At 38.3% G+C, this 16,342-nt stretch overlaps 1 protein-coding gene and 1 long non-coding RNA gene across 6 annotated transcripts in view; one reads left to right on the top strand and one right to left on the bottom strand.

Annotated features, from left to right (window-relative positions):
• The window catches only part of FAR2 (fatty acyl-CoA reductase 2), a 186,339-nt gene that overhangs the window by 30,555 nt on the left and 139,442 nt on the right, over positions 1-16,342 (bottom strand). For all 5 annotated transcript variants that reach the window (NM_001271783.2, XM_011520748.4, XM_011520747.3 and 2 more), the window contains 2 exons: positions 11,587-11,762; positions 7,862-8,041 (listed from right to left, as the gene is read on the bottom strand). In NM_001271783.2, coding sequence (NP_001258712.1) covers positions 7,862-8,041; positions 11,587-11,762 — 356 coding nt within the window. The remainder of the gene's footprint in view (positions 1-7,861; positions 8,042-11,586; positions 11,763-16,342) is intronic.
• Positions 1-16,342, top strand: part of FAR2-AS1 (FAR2 antisense RNA 1) — a 37,434-nt gene that overhangs the window by 12,787 nt on the left and 8,305 nt on the right. The window contains exons 4-5 of the long non-coding RNA NR_103860.1: positions 11,522-11,996; positions 12,734-12,847. This is a non-coding gene — a long non-coding RNA (FAR2 antisense RNA 1). The remainder of the gene's footprint in view (positions 1-11,521; positions 11,997-12,733; positions 12,848-16,342) is intronic.

Genomic DNA, 16,342 nt, shown 5'->3' with positions numbered 1-16,342 from the left:
CATCCAGCCACTTCCTAGGTTCAGAGGAGATTAGTGTAATAAACATGCACATCCACTGGTTGGGCCAAGCCATTCTTAGGACTTAAACACTCAATTCAGGGTTGCTGCTGCTGTTTGTTCTCAATTTGTTTTTAAAACAGTAAATAAGTTAGCATAGATAAAAAACACATATAAACCAAAATACATGTCTGAAATTAATCTAAATGTCCTCCAGTATACTCAAGAAGATGTTTTGAACCCATGGGTCTCAAATTCTAAACTTGAATTGCTTCAGAAGAAGCATAAAGTCATTGAAAATTTCAGAAAGCAGTATGTATATGTCTATGTGTGTTCACATATACACACATACACAATTTCTTCTAAATATTATCAATTTTGGTTTCAAACTTATTGAATCAACATGATTATATCATTAATGGTTTATTTATGTATTTACTGAATGAATTACCAAGAGGCATATGTATTTCCCCTCCCCTGATACCCTCAATTTTCTTATGCAACAAGTGGGCAAGCCTAGTAGTTTATCAGGAAATCTGTTAGAGAGTAAGTAGTGGACACACTGTCTTATGATAATGTTTGCTCTCTCTTTCTCCAGGGTAGATTATGTCATTCTCTTGATTGTTGTAGTTATCAAGTTGTATTTGCTTATGTGTCTGTCTCCCCACTGGACAGACAGTGAGTCCAGAAGATCAGGGATTATGATTTTTATCACTGTGTCTAATCACCTTTCTGCCCCCAGGAGCCAGCTGCCTTATTCAGTAAATGCATGTTCTTCCACATGATAATCTTGATTGGCCAATTTCTATACTATGTAAGGTTTTGGGAAGCAGAGATGGACAATGATGAGAGAAAGTGGATGAACTCAAAAGAAGACGAGGTTGTAGGGAGAATGTGGGAAAGGAAGGAAGGGGTTATCTTTTAGAGCAGGAAGCAAAATTGGAAGTAAAGTGTCCAGTGGCAATGGTGAAAAGTGTTGACCAACCTCGTTTTGGTGAAGGTGGCTTCAAGGTCAACTTAAACTTTCCAGTGGGAAGCAGGGTATTTCTGAGCCTAATGCTTATGGAGAATTGGCCTCTGTATTTCCCTCAAGACTTTTACGGAGCACCTAGCCAGGCTCAAACATGAGCCAGATGCTGAATACCCTGCCAATGGCCTGCCATTTGAAAATTACTCAGTTTGGTTAAGAAACAATTTAATCTTATTCTGGTTTGTAATTTAAAGCCTGCTAATATCAAAGTACACAGAATTCTCATTTTTACTTAGCTACATAGATGTCATTTTGAAGCTGTGCCATCCTGAAATTAAAAGCACAAGTGCTAGAATCAGCTTTCACCGTTCCCCTAGAAGAGGTCAGCTTTTTTAGTGTTAACAATGTGTTCTATAGCACGAAGGCAAAAAAGACTACTTTCTAACATCTGACCTCCTTTCATATCTCCCAGAGGACTGTGATAAGGGCCACTGCTGCTGGCTGTGGGGGCCTCCATTCCCCTGCCTCTCACACCTGCACCCTCAGTGCACACGCCACCTTTCCTTTTTCACATGGCAGCTTAGCTGTGTCTTCTGGTGACTGTGTAGCCTCAGAAGCATGGTTTTTAGTAGGTACAGATCTACTAGGAACTTTCCATTAAAGCTTCTAAGAACTGAAAGACAACAGGAGGCAAGGAGAGCAGGAGAAAGAGGGAGCATAGAGATAAAGAAGATAAATGATCCTCATTTCAAATGAAGACTGCTCAGTGAAAAACCTCCTTAAGGTAGTCTTTCCCAAACTTGCCTGCTCATAAATATGAATTACACAGGGCCCCTGGGAAAAATCCAGATTCCTGGGTACCATTTTAGAATCACTAAATACATCTGCAGAGTTAAGAGTCTGATAATCTGTATTTTCAACATGCCCTGGAAATTCCAACAGTCGGGCAAATCAGGGAATCACTAATTTAAAAGAAGTCCACTCCATAAACTTAAGTCATTGAGATTTGAATATATCAGGATTAGCTCTCAAAAACGCATTGCTTCATGGAGTAAAATTTCAACAGAATTGAATTTTAAAAGAATTAAATCCCTGGTACTAGAAATGCAAAACATGACAAGTATGCATGTTCTAATCTGGAGTTAATTTGATAGGTGCAACCCCATATGCAAAGCAGTAGCCATGTCCTATTGTTTTTTTCTTTCCCAAAACATGGAGATGTTTTTTATACCTGTTGCCTCACCCTCATTCTAGTCTTCCATACTACTCCTCTCTGGTAATGGGTCTCGCTTCCTCCGTCTACTCCCTATGCTAATCCACTGCCTCCCCCGGCCCCTGGCTATATTAATATTCCTGAAGCCCACTTTCATCAGTATTTTTCCATGATGAAAACAAATGAGCAAACAACCCCAAATTACACACAAAAATGCATGCGCACACATGGCCCTCCTTCAATGGATCTCTACTGCATAGAGAATTAAATACAATTCCTCTGCATGGTATGCAAAATCTCCACAGTATGGCCCATCCTCCCCTCCAGCTTGATCTCTAACTTCTTCCCTACACGTAACACATGCGCTGCCAAGATGGACTACTGGCTGTGTCCCAAACACGCCTGGGTTTCCCAGCTCCAGCTGCCCTGCCAGGCACGTGTGCACATCTCACCTATCCACACTCTATCCACTCTTCCAAGTCTTCTCATATGCCTCCCTCCACTCCACCAGACTTAATATGACCTGTTTCCCCACCACCACACGTGTATAATTCTGCCGTGTTCTATTTGTCTTGGATACGAGCTCTTTGGAACATAGTCTATATCTTAAGAAAGCACCTTTTTTTTTTTTTTTTTTTTTTTTTTCCTTTGAGATGGAGTCTCGCTCTGTCGCCCAGGCTGGAGGGCAGTGGCACAATCTCTCGGCTCACTTCAAGCTCTGCCTCCCGGGTTCACGCCATTCTCCTGCCTCAGCCTCCCGAGTAGCTGGGAGTACAGGCGCCCACCACCACGCCCGGCTAATTTTTTGTATTTTTAGTAGAGACGGGGTTTCACCGCGTTAGCCAGGATGGTCTCGATCTGACCTCGTAATCCGCCCAACCCAGCCTCCCAAAGTGCTGGGATTACAGGCTTGAGCCACTGCACGCAGCGAGAAAGCACCTTTTAATCTCTACCACTGCCAAGTACGTGAGTAGACTGGAAAGACCATGGGCTTCAGAATCAAGTGGCCATGGATAAAAATTGTGTCTGAGAGACTTTCAAGGAGTTACTTAGCCATTTTGAGCTTTTTGCTCCGTGATTAGTATAGCAGTGATAATAATATCAACCTTACAATATTACGTTATGGAATTAAATGTCTGTGGAAGTGTCTTCCTCACAGTAATTGCTCAATAATGATTCATGTCCTCCCTTCCCTTCTTAATTCAGATTTATTTACATATGCTCAATAGAGCAATAAATATTTGTGATTCCATTTTTCTAGTACCTGCTTCCAGTTATTTCAGGTTTTTATACAGGCACAAAAGCCCTTTTCTTCTACACTGCTTTCCCTAAGAGGAGTTACCTTGACCTAAAAAATAAGGAAAGCACCAACCATAAAACCCTGCCTTTCTTGGTCAGTTATGTGCATTTTAAAAAATAAACATTCTACATAAGCTGTTATTCTGGAAAACTGGAATTTCACTGGCAATCCCTGATCCATTTATGCACATAAATTTCCAAAGGTAAATATACCAACTAGGCAGAAGCTGGCAATATGAAGGTAGAGCTGAGTCAGAATGGGAACCGGTGGCTGGGATGAGGGGCAGAAGACAACTACAGATATAAGAGCCAGGAAAATGAGTCGCTAAACACTGATTAACGGCCAGGCTTGTCATACTCATTAAAAGCATTAACTCCTGATTTAAGTTATTTTTAAAATATATTTCTGCTAATGTGCTAAAGTTTTTGTACTAACTTCATCTTTCTGGAATATTTCAGGGCCAAGGTAATGCTAAAAGTTTTTAGATAGGGGCTAAAGAAAGGGAGCTCAGGCCTGACAGTCTCAGCATACAGGATGGATAGAAAATGGGGGGAGCTGAATGAGCAGAGACTTTAGGCCTGCAAAGGTTGGGACCAGGATGTAAGCATGGGGTTCAAGTTCACAGTCCCATTATTAACAACACTGAGCAGTACCACTGCTGCCCAAGCAAACAGGAAAGGTCCGGGCCAAAAATGCATATCCTTCTTTATTTCCCAGAACTGGAATTCCCATTCAACTGATTTTCTGGAAAAATAAAGTTTCATTTTACGTCGTCATGGTGATTTTCTTGAGAATATAATGCCAAGAGTACAGCTTCAAGATCATCTTGTTGTCTAACGCCTGGTTCCTTATAAATAAATAAATAAGAACTGCTGAATTACTAAGAGCAATGGCAGCCACTAGACCCCTTGAAGTTACTGTTAACAACAACAACAACAACAACAACAACAACTTTCCCCCAGGCATTTCTCTGTTGCACTGAAAGAAAGGAAAACTCCCAGGGGAAATAGAAACCTAAAAACCTTGGAAAATAATTCCATTTTAACACAGACCAATTACTAAATAGAGAATTACTCAAAGAAACAAAGTATTTTCCTAAAACAAAGAAACTAAACCTGGATTTAGGTGAATTGATATTTATTCAGAATGATTTTTAATGTTGTTATTCTAAAACTTCCAAAAATTCCATCTGGTATAGGAGTCGTTGAAATAGTCGTAGATCATGGTATAGTTGGTGAGGGGTTGCTGGGTTTTATTTAAAGTGCTATTCAAAAGTTAACATACAGGTTTCATTCAAAGTTTAAGAAGAAAAAAATGAACAACCAGAAACAAGGGTAAGATGTGGGGATATGGATAGATATTTTATACATAAGACTTCTGCATCCCAAAATATCAGCTTGTTACAGAATTCTGTCATCTATTCTTGCTTCAGTCAAAACAAACAAACAAAAACAGTCAAAACAGTATGAACAATAATCGTCTATGCCACCAAAAGCTTTTCATTCATTCAGTGAGCATTGAGTCCCTAGCTGGAGATGCAAAGAGGAGCAAGAAATATTCTCTTCTGTTGAGAAGCTCATTGTCTAATGTAGAATGTAGATAAGCAACCAGACATTCAGAATGACCTGTGTTACAAGCAATAATACAGCTGAACACTGGGTACTATGGGAGCACTTGGGAAGGGTGCCTAAGCCAGAGAGCTTCGCTGGGGAGCCTTGATATCTGAGTAAGAATTAACCAGGTGAAGCAGAAGGGGAACTAAGCTCTAGGGACAAACAGAGTTTCGAGTGCAAAGGCAGGCAGAGTATGAGGAGGGAAGGCCTTACTTCTTTGTGACTGCAGCATGAAAGTAAGGGGAGGACTGAGAGAGATGAGGCTGGATAGGTGGTCCTGGATGTCCTAATTAATTCTGAATTAGCAAATAATAAGTATGACTTTTCCCTGTTTTTTAAAAAAACTTAGTTCCTTAATTGCACCCAGAATTTATCTGTTGAGATAAAATAATTTCATTCCTAGTTCTAATTAGTTGCTTAAATAATTGTTATCCTTGGAGAGCAGTAAATGACAGATGGAGGTTAAAAATTTTGTACAAATGTCAGTTACAGTTTGTTCATAAATCATGTAGCAATTACCTGCCTTGTCTGGTTGACATATACTTGAGGGAGGATGGAAAGTGCTGAATGCCTGAAGATAAATCAGCTCTTCCTCTGGGAGGTGAGTTTATTCTTCTTTGAAACCTAGGGGTATTTAGTGTCTGGATATAGTTTGGGAGGAAGTGGTATGGAGTACCTAGAGAAGCCCTTCACTATGGGTGAACTCTTACTTCTTTTCTTTTCTTTTTCTTTCTTTTTTTTTTTTTTTTTTTTTTGAGACAAAGTTTTGCTCTTGTTGACCAGGCTGGGGTGCAATGGTGCAATCTCAGCTCACTGCAACCTCCACCTCCTGGATTCAAGCAATTCTACTGCCTCAGCCTCCCAAGTAGCTGAGATTACAGGCATGTGCCACCACACCTAGCTAATTTTTTGTATTTAGTAGAGACAGGGTTTCACCATGTTGGTCAGGCTGGTCTCGAACTCCTGACCTCGGGTGATCCACCCACCTCGGCCTCCCAAAGTGCTGGGATTACAGGCATAAGCCAACACACCTGGCCTCTTACTTCTTTTCTCTGATGAACTCTCAGGCTCTTTTGCTACCTCAAATTGCACTATGACCTGTCAGGTGTTAGAGAGATCAGCAGTGGAGAAAGTCCCAGGAAACAATCTGGAATCAAAAGGGGTCTGCCCCTCTCCTGGACATATCAAATATGAAAACATCACATTTACCAAGAGACAACACCATAAGAGGGTAACTGACAGAAACCAATTCCATCCTGAAAATGCTCTGAGGCTTTAAACATACTTTATTGTCTAGACTTTGGGCCTCAGAATACACCTGCTTTTTCTCCCACTATCCTGATGAACTCTGCACTCTAAAATTTTTCTCTGTACCAATTTAGCAAACCTCCATTTATTAGCAACTTTAACCTCCAGATCCTTTAGATGACTTTCATTCTTCTTTGTCCTGGATATTTTTACATGACAGACAAAAATATCTATTCTCAGAGCTGGAGGAGATAAAAATGTTTGCCCTGAAGGTAATGAACTCTTGATTTAGCTAAAACTTTTTAAAGAGTATATATTAAATATAAATACAGTATTATATAAAATTATAATGTGACAAATTCATTGTGAAATAGTCCATTTTTCTGCTATAATACTTTTTATATAGTTTTTTACAAAAAAAAAAAACAAGGTAAACTTAGTAAAATGGAGCAGAAGAATAAAGAAGCAGAAAACAAACTTATTCTAAGACCTGAGCTGTGTTTTAAGATGAAAGTGGTTTCTGCTCATTGGCAAGAAGAGAAAAATCCTAGACATTATTTCTCTTGCATCCTAGGACAGTAAAGAAAGTGTGTCTCAGCCAAATAAGTCAAGAGACTGTCACCTTCTGCCAGATCTTGGAGCAATTCTTATTCTTCATTAGTTCTTTTTTTTTTTTTTTTTTTTGAGACGGAGTTTCACTCTTGTTGCCCAGGCTGGAGTGCAACGGCACAATCTCGGCTCATTGCAACCTCTGCCTCCCAGGTTCAAGCGATTCTCCCCAGGTTCAAGTGATTCTCCTGCCTCAGCCTCCCAAGTACCTGGGATTACAGGCGCCTGCCACCACATCCAGCTAATTTTTGTATTTTAGGCTGGTCTTGAACTCTTGGACTCAGGTGATCCACCCGCCTCAGCCTCCCAAAGTGCTGGGATTACAGGCGTGAGCCACCACCCCCAGCCTCTAGTTCTTTTTTATGAATTATTTGATTAAGTGCTGTTAAACACTCCCTAGCACTGCAATAAGTGTTTTATATAACTTTTTTCAACCTCACAACTATAAAATGGGCCCATTTTACAAATGAAGGACTTGGGGCTCAGAGAGGGCAAGGAATTTGCTCAGTCACACAGGTAGTTACTGGTGGAGCTATGCCAAACTCACGTCAGTCTGAATCAGACATTTTTCTTCTGAACTTTTATACTATACATTATACTTGCTTTATCCAGTGACAATGCTAAGTTCATTAAGAAGTGAGAAACAACTTCTATGTATAGTATTCCCAAGTACCTCATGCAATCCTACGCAATTCCACAAAATGTTTAAGAATTTTCTATCCCCCTTCTCTTTTAGCAGTATATTCCCCACCAGAACTAGCAGGGACAAGGTAGCTAAGGCTAGCACCGTTTCAAAACATTTTGCTTCAAAAGTGTTTGACTTCATCATCTCATTAATAGCTACAAAGAATCAAAGAGAACAAAGGAACTTATTCTACCCGCCCCTTGATCCTTTTATTAGACCAACTTACTCAAGGGAATCAATGATTTTTTTTGGCTCCACAGGGCACGGATAGATAACTTCATCGATGTGCTTCAGGTTACAATTTGAATAGGCAGTAGAGATATGTATAAAGGCTTCCAGCTTTGGCATCTGACTAGCCATAAGCAAGAGCTGCCGGGTGGCAGTGACGTTAAGTTGCACAGCATGTCTAGAGAAGATTAAGCAGAAGGAAATACAATGAAGTAAGTCAGTATCATGCCTTGCTATAACTGCACCTACTCCAATAACTGGCATACCTATCAGATTTTGGTGGCCGCACCAAAACACCAGGAAGAGAAGGATGGGTCATGGCTACACAGTTATGTGATACTCGGAATGTTTTATGTAGTGATGATGTGTTTTGTGCACATAAATCCTATTCACTGACACACTGTACATATATCTAGAGGACAATTGGTTCTAATCAACCGGAAAAAGAATTACAATACTCTGAATTTATAAAGGTGCTTCTATAGGCAGCCATTAAAAGAACACAAACATGTAAATTAAGCATCTAACTGAAGAAGTTGGAAAATGTAAATAAACTGGAGGGGAGCAACAGTACATTTTTTAAAGGAGCAATGTAAGTTGCTCTTGTAAAGATCCAGGCAAGACATGAAAATTGATGTCAAAATCTAAAATTGCAGCTAGTAGAATGCAAAGCTATATAAACAGTATGTGATAACAATGAAATAGTTCATTCCAGGAATACATGGTTTATCAAATACCAGGAAACTTACTAATTTAATTTAACTCAAATGAGAAAAACTATATAAGAATCTATATGTATTTTGAAAAGTTTAAAATGACATTTAATTTCCATTTCCAATTTAGTTAAACAAATTCACTAGAACTGGTGAAAAGCTAGGAGCACTGCTTGTAACGTCAGTGGTAGGAATAATGCCTACAATCACACTACTACTTAACATTGTTCTGAAGTCCTAGCCTTGGAATTAATTAGAAAAATAAAATTAAAGAACAGATATAGATACTAAAAAGACAGCCACAAAAATTACTGTCGGATTATATAATTGCATACATGGAAAACAGAAGCAGCTTTTTAAAAAAACTGAAATGTACTATAATTCAGTAAGGTGTCCACTGATAAAAATTACGTTAAAAGGCCGGGCGCGGTGGCTCACGCCTGTAATCCCAGCACTTTGGGAGGCCGAGGCGGGTGGATCATGAGGTCAGGAGATCGAGACCATCCTGGCTAACAAGGTGAAACCCCGTCTCTACTAAAAATACAAAAAATTAGCCGGGCGCGGTGGCGGGCGCCTGTAGTCCCAGCTACTCGGGAGGCTGAGGCAGGAGAATGGCGTGAACCCGGGAAGCGGAGCTTGCAGTGAGCCGAGATTGCGCCACTGCAGTCCGCAGTCCGGCCTGGGCGACAGAGCGAGACTCCGTCTCAAAAAAAAAAAAAAAAAAAAAAATTACGTAAAAAATCACTAGCTGCTTGTATATAAACAAAAATTAGAGAAGAAAAGGGAAGAAATGTCCAAAGTTGAACGTTTAAAATATATCAAATTCATCATAAATGAATATATAATAACAAAAAACAAATAAAAAATTGAATAAAATGGGAAAACATATTGTTCTTGGATGGGAAGAATGAATATTTTAAATATACTAAATGTTTTTAAAGTATTCTACATATACAAGGTAATTCTAATCAAACTCCCAAGTATTCTACATATGCAAGGTAATTCTAATCAAACTCCCAAGATTTTTAAAAACCTGGCAAAATTATCTTAAATTTAATCAGGAAGTATATGCAAAGAGAACAGTAAGGAAAATTCTATAAAAATGGAAGTGTGGCTGGGCACGGTGGCTCACGCCTGTAATCCCAGCACTTTAGGAGGCCGAGGCGGGCGGATCACCTGAGGTCAGGAGTTCAAGACCAGCCTGGCCATGATTGTGAAACCCCGTCTCTACCAAAAATACAAAAATTAGCTAGGCATGGTGGTGGGTGCCTGTAGTCCCAGCTACATGGGGAGGCTGAGGCAAAAGAATCACTTGAACCCAGGAGGTGGAGGTTGCAGTGAGCCAAGATCACGCCAATGCACTCCAGCCTGGGCAACAGAGCGAAACTCCATCTCAAAAGAAAAAAATACAGTGCTGTGAGTATGCTTGCTCTAATATAATAGAAATTACAGTAATTAAAATGATACAGTACTGGAAGTGAAAGCCTGATTTAATGTAACAAAATAGTTTAAAAACTGAAATTTAGTTTAAGAGCTTTATATCAGATAAAGAGTAAAAATAAAATATTTAACAAATATTGTTCAAAAACTAACCATGTGGCAGAAAAAAAAAATAAAGCTGCTTTACTTTCACATCTGCATCACTCTTCTTACAGAATTGGCCCGTACTCCTCTTTCTAGGTAAATACTTTATAAATGGATCAAAAATCTAAATGTAAAAATGAAACCATAAAAATACTAGGAGAAATTATAAATAACTGCATAAATAATTGACTTGAAAGACATTTGATAAATTGTTAAAATAGTTTCAGCCTTATAAAAGATGAAGAATTTAATGGCCAGGCACAGTGGCTCACGCCTGTAATCCCAGCACTTTGGGAGGCCAAGGCGGGTGGATCACCTGAGGTCAGGAGTTTGAGACCAGCCTGGCCAACATGATGAAACTCCGTCTCTACTAAAAATACAAAAATATTAGCCGAGCGTGGTGGCAGGCACCCGTAATCCCAACTACTTGGGAGGCTGAGGCAGGAGAATCGCTTGAACCCAGGAGGCGGAGGTTGCAGTGAGCCAAGATCCTGCCATTGCACTCCAACTTGGGCAACAAGAACGAAACTGTCTCAACAACAAAAAAAAAATTAAGAATTACTGTGCTGAAACTTTCAAGAAGTCTTAATAAGAAAAAAATGTTTCAATAGAAAAATAGGCAAAGAACATCAATAGGCATTTCACAAAGAACAAAATGCCAATAAGCATTTAAATATCATTAGCCTTTGTAATCATCAAAGAAATACAAATCAGAACATGTGCTACCATTTCCATTATCCTATTAGCAACATTAAAATAATTTAAAAATTATAGTATTATTTTGTGACTGTAAAAATGAGCATTCATGTGCACAGAGACAGTGTAAGTGGACACCACATTTTTGGAGAGCAATTTAGCATTATGTGTGAAAATGCAAACTGTTCATAACCTGGGTAACATCTGATATGTATCTGATAATTGTACTTCTAGGAATTTATCTCAAGAAGAGCACACAAAGGGGTGAAAAATACACATGCACACAGATGTTCATTGCAGTGTTGTTAATAGTGAAAAATTAAAACAATCCAAATGTCCACCGACATAGAACTGGTTTAATATATTATATATATATGTACAATGGAATGTCATGTAATCATTACAAATTATAATAGAATATTTATTGACAATGATAGATATCAAAAAATATAATTGAGCAGGTTGCAAAACATCATTCTCGCTAGGATGCCATTTTCTTCCAGTAAAATTGAACATACACCTATGTAATCATAGATACATAAAGAAAAATTGGAGTGAATATTCTCCACAATAGTAAATGGTTGTTTCTAGATGGTGGGATTTTGGAGGAGTTTTGCTTCTTTGTATGTCTTTTTTGTTTAGAGTGTATTTCTTTTTTTTTACAGAAACTATGAAGAAATTTACATGCACACATATGTATACAAGCCATGAGAGGGAAATGGGAATGTACCTGAGAGTGTCGTCAAAGCGTACAGTGGCTGCACAGTGAAATATTATGTTTGTACAGGAGAGAAGCTCCTGCATGTCCTCTTTGCTGATGGCAAAGTCATTCTGATTGAGATCTGCATAAATAGCTCTGATCTTCTCATGCACATTTGGACAAACTTCTTTGACTTTCTCAAATAGCTGAAACATAAATATAGATCAATATACAAAAAATAGCACCATCATTATCACATTGTTCTTGTTTATAACAACCTGCTTAATTATACTCAAAAACTGGTTTTAGTTGTAATAACATTACTTAAAGAAGACATCTGGCTGGGCATGGTGGCATATGCCTGTAATCTCAGCACTTTGGGAAGCCAAAGCAGGGAGATCACTTGAGCCCAGGAGTTCGACACCAGCCTGCGCAACATGGTAAAAACCTGTCTCTACTAAAAATACAAAAAATTAGCCAGGCATGGTGGTGTGTGCCTGTAGTCCCAACTGCTTGGGAGGCTGAGATGGGAGGATCCCTTGATTGATTAATATTAGAAAAACTGTTAAAGATCTTTCTGGAAGAGTCAGAATGACCTCTTTGTTGAGAATGTGCCCAGGACACTTTATCAACCTTATCAATCCCAGATGTCAAAAGCATTGAGGACTGACCTAACTTCCAAATGATCTTCAGAATTGCAGTAACACACCACTGAAAAGGCTGGCCCTACAGTGCAGAAAAATGGTAGACAGAATTGAAATATGTTAACTTGCCAGATCAATATGTGGATTTCTTCCCTTTCCTAGTCATCTTCATTAAATCCTCAGAATGGCTTCTGAACATGCTCTTGCCTGATACAAATGAGACATGATTTCTCTGACTACTTGAGATCAACTTTTTATTACCCAATAAAAACACCCTGGGGTACATCTCTTCCAGAAAGATCTTTAACAGTTTTTCTAATATTAATCAATCATAAGCATGCTAAATGTTTTCTTCTAGAGTCAGATGTTTTCCCTCTTGATAGTTAATGTTAATTGTACAACAAACATATGTTGAATATTTTTGGGTAAGCTTATCTAAAATTTGTATAATTTTCTCTTTTTTGGTAACTGAATTTGGAGAAGACTCTTTTTGAGTCTACATGATATATTTTATTCACTAGAAATTTACTTAGGGTTCTGTGGACTCTTTCACTTTGGCCTGTGAAGACTTCTGACTACTGGAAAGCAAGAAGTAGGAGATGGTTTCAGCATCCACCCTTCTCACGATGGGGTTCCTTACATATGATGTAAGTAGTCATATTTAGATTTTCTTTTGCCTTTGGTTTTTATGACTTTAAAAGACAGAAGTTACTGCTATTCCATATTATACTTTCAGACAACCTGTGCAACGTTGAACAGCACCAAGATCCCATATTTGCATTACTTTTCAGGAGATCATTACAATTTTAGGAAATAATGTTCCAATCTGTGTTGTATCTGTTGCATTGTATTTTCAATCAAGAATGCATATCTGAATGAACATAGTACAATTTTTTAAAAGTCTGAGTTTTCTGATTTAGATAGTAGTTGATAATGTTCCACTGAAATAAATCAATGAATTGGCTGCATCAATTCAAACCACAGTACTAAATGAGGATTCCATTTTACTACATTAGCCTTGCTTAATAATAGGACTTGCCCTGTCAGGAATCTCACCATACCCCTATAGCTTCTAAAATAATACTCTTTAATAGTGCCATGTCCTGAATAGAGTGACAGAGATGGCAGCCAACTGGAATCCAACAGGTCAGTGGTTTTGGTCTTTTCATAACGCTGTCCACAAAGTGAACTGCATTGGAATCACTAGTAGCATAATTAAAATGTATATTCCTGGGTCCTATCCCATACCCACTAAATAAGAAATTACTAGGGCACACCCAGGAATCTGTATTTCACACCAAGTCCCCCAATTGATTTTAAGGCATGCAAATGATGAGAATTTCTCCATTTAGAGTGCAAACACGGACCATTGCAGATGAATAACTGCATACAACTCATTTCCCTTTATAACTGCCCAGAGCAATCTTCGCATCAGTAGCTTTCAAACTGTAGGCATGAAAAATCAAAGAACCTGGTTAAAAATTATTTCTTTATTCCACCCTCAGAGACCCTGGCTCAGTAGTTTTGTGTGTAACCTAGGAAATTGTATTTCTTAACCGCCTCTGCAGGTGGATCTGATGGTCCAGGTACCATAATTGGGAAACACTGACTCTGAAAAATTCATGTCTGTTCTTAAATTCAGGGCTTATATTTCCCCCTCTAGTTTGTAAACTCCTTGATTCTTTTTTTCTTTTGTAGGGAAACTCTTTCTATTTTTCTTTAATTTCTGTGGGTACATAGTAGGTATATATATTTATGGGGTACATGAGATGTTTTTATACAGGTATGCTATATGAAATAAGCACATCATGGAGAAGGGGTATCTATCCCTTCAAGCATTTATCCTTTGAGTTACAAGCAATCCAATTATACTCTTTAAATTATTTTAAAATGTACCATTATTATTGACTATAGTCACCCTATTGTGCTATCAAATAGTAGGTCTTATTAATTCTTCTATTGTTTGCCACCCTTTACCATTCCCATCCACCCCCTCCCACTTGCCTTCCCAGCCTCTGGTAACCATCCTTCTACTCTTTATGTCCATGAGTTCAATTGTTTTGATTTTTGTACCTGACAAATAAGTGAAAACATGCAATGTTTGTCTTTCTGTGCCTGGTTCATTTCACTTAGCATAATGACCTCCATTTCCATCCATGTTGTTGCAAATGACTGAATCCCATTCTTTTTGATGGCTGAGTAGTACTCCATTGTGTATATGTACCACATTTTCTTTATCCATTCATCTATTGATGGACACTTAGGTGGCTTCCAAATCTTAGCTAGTGTGAGCAGTACTGCAACAAATATGGGAGTGCAGATACCTCTTTGAGATACTGATTTCCTTTTTGTTGGGTATATACCTTGCAGTGGGACTGCTGGATCATATGGTATTTCTTTCTTTTTTTTTTTTTCTCAGACAGAGTCTCACTCTGTCACCCAGGCTGGAGTGCAGTGGCACAATCTTGGCTCACTACAACCTTCACCTTCTGAGTTCAAGTGATTCTCTTGCCTCAGCCTCCTGAGTAGCTGGGATTACAAGTATGCACCACCATGTCTGGCCAATTTTTGTATTTTTAGTAGAGATGGGGTTTCGCTACGTTGGCCAGGCTGATCTTGAACTCCCGACCTCCAGTGATCCACCCGTCTCAGCCTCCCAAAGTGCTGGGATTACAGGCATGAGCCACCACACCTGGCCCATATGGTATTTCTATTGTTTTTTGAGGAACATGCAAACTGTTCTCCGTAGTGGTTGTACTAATTTACATTCCTACCAACAGCATATGAGGGTTCCTTTTGCTCCACATCATTGACAACATTTTTTATTGCCTATCTTTTGGATATAAGCCATTTTAACTGGGGTGAAATAATATCTCATTGTAGTTTTGATTTGCATGTCTAATGATCAGTGATGTTGAGCACCTTTTTATATGCCTGTTTGTCTTTTGTATGTCTTCTTTTGAGAAATGGTTATTCAAATATTTTGCTCATTTTTTGATCGGATTATTATACTTTTTACTGTATAGTTGTTTGAGCTCCTTATGTATTCTGGTTATTAATCCTTTATCAGATAGGTTGTTTGCAAATATTTTCCCCCATTCTGTGGCTTGTCTCTTCACTTTGTTGATTGTATCCTTTGCTGTGTAGAAGCTTTTTAACTTGATGTGATCCCATTTGTCCATTCTTGCTTTGGTTGCCTGTGCTTGTGGGGTATTGCTCAATAAATTTTTGCCCAGACCAACGTCCTGGAGATTTTCCCAAATGTTTTCTTGTAGTAGTTTCATAGTTTGAAGTCTTAGATCTAAGTCTTTAATCCATTTTGATTTGATTTTTGTATATGGAGAGAGATAGAGGTCTAGTTTCATTCTGCTGTATCTGGATATCGTTTTCCCAACACCATTTATTGAAGAGGCTGTCTTTTCTGCAGTGTATATTCTTGGCACCTTTGTCAAAAGAGTTCACTGTAGGTGTGTGGATTTTTTTCTGAGTTCTCTATTCTGTTCTATTGGTCTGTGTGTCTGTTTTTATGCTGGTACCATGCTATTTTGGTTACCATAGCTTTGTAGTATAATTTGAAGTCAAGTAATGTGATTCCTCCAGTTTTATTCTTTTTTGCTCAGGTTAGCTTTGGCTATTCTCAGTCTTTTGCGGTTCCAAATAAATTTTAGGATTGTTTTTTTCTATTTCTATGAATAATGTTACTGATATTTTGATAAGGATTGCACTGAATCTGTACACTGCTTTGGATGGTAGTATGGACATTTTAACAATATTGATTCTTCTAATCCATGAACATGGAATACTTTTCTAGTTTTTGGTGTCCTCTTCAATTTCATTCATCAGTGTTTTATAGTTTTCATTATAGAGATCTTTCACTTCTCTGGTCAAGTTAATTCCTAGGTATTTAATTTTATGTGTGGCTATTTTAAAGGCTTTTTAAAAAATTTCTTTGTAAACTCCTTGATTCTTATTCATCTCTTTATGCCTGACAGTATGCCATTCATTGAAAAGACTCAAATTTTGCTTATTGAATTAAAATTAATTCCTGTAAGATCAGTAATAGAACTATTACTACAATAGAATGGAAGCCTGATTCCTGAAGTTTGTATGACTGTGATGAGAGATAGCAGATAGCGACTGCT

The sequence above is a fragment of the Homo sapiens genome, chromosome 12, assembly GCF_000001405.40.
Source record: "Homo sapiens chromosome 12, GRCh38.p14 Primary Assembly".
Classification (NCBI taxonomy): Eukaryota; Metazoa; Chordata; class Mammalia; order Primates; family Hominidae; genus Homo; species Homo sapiens.
The sequence above is the reverse complement of the archived record's forward strand: the minus strand, read 5'-3'. Positions and strand labels throughout refer to the sequence as shown.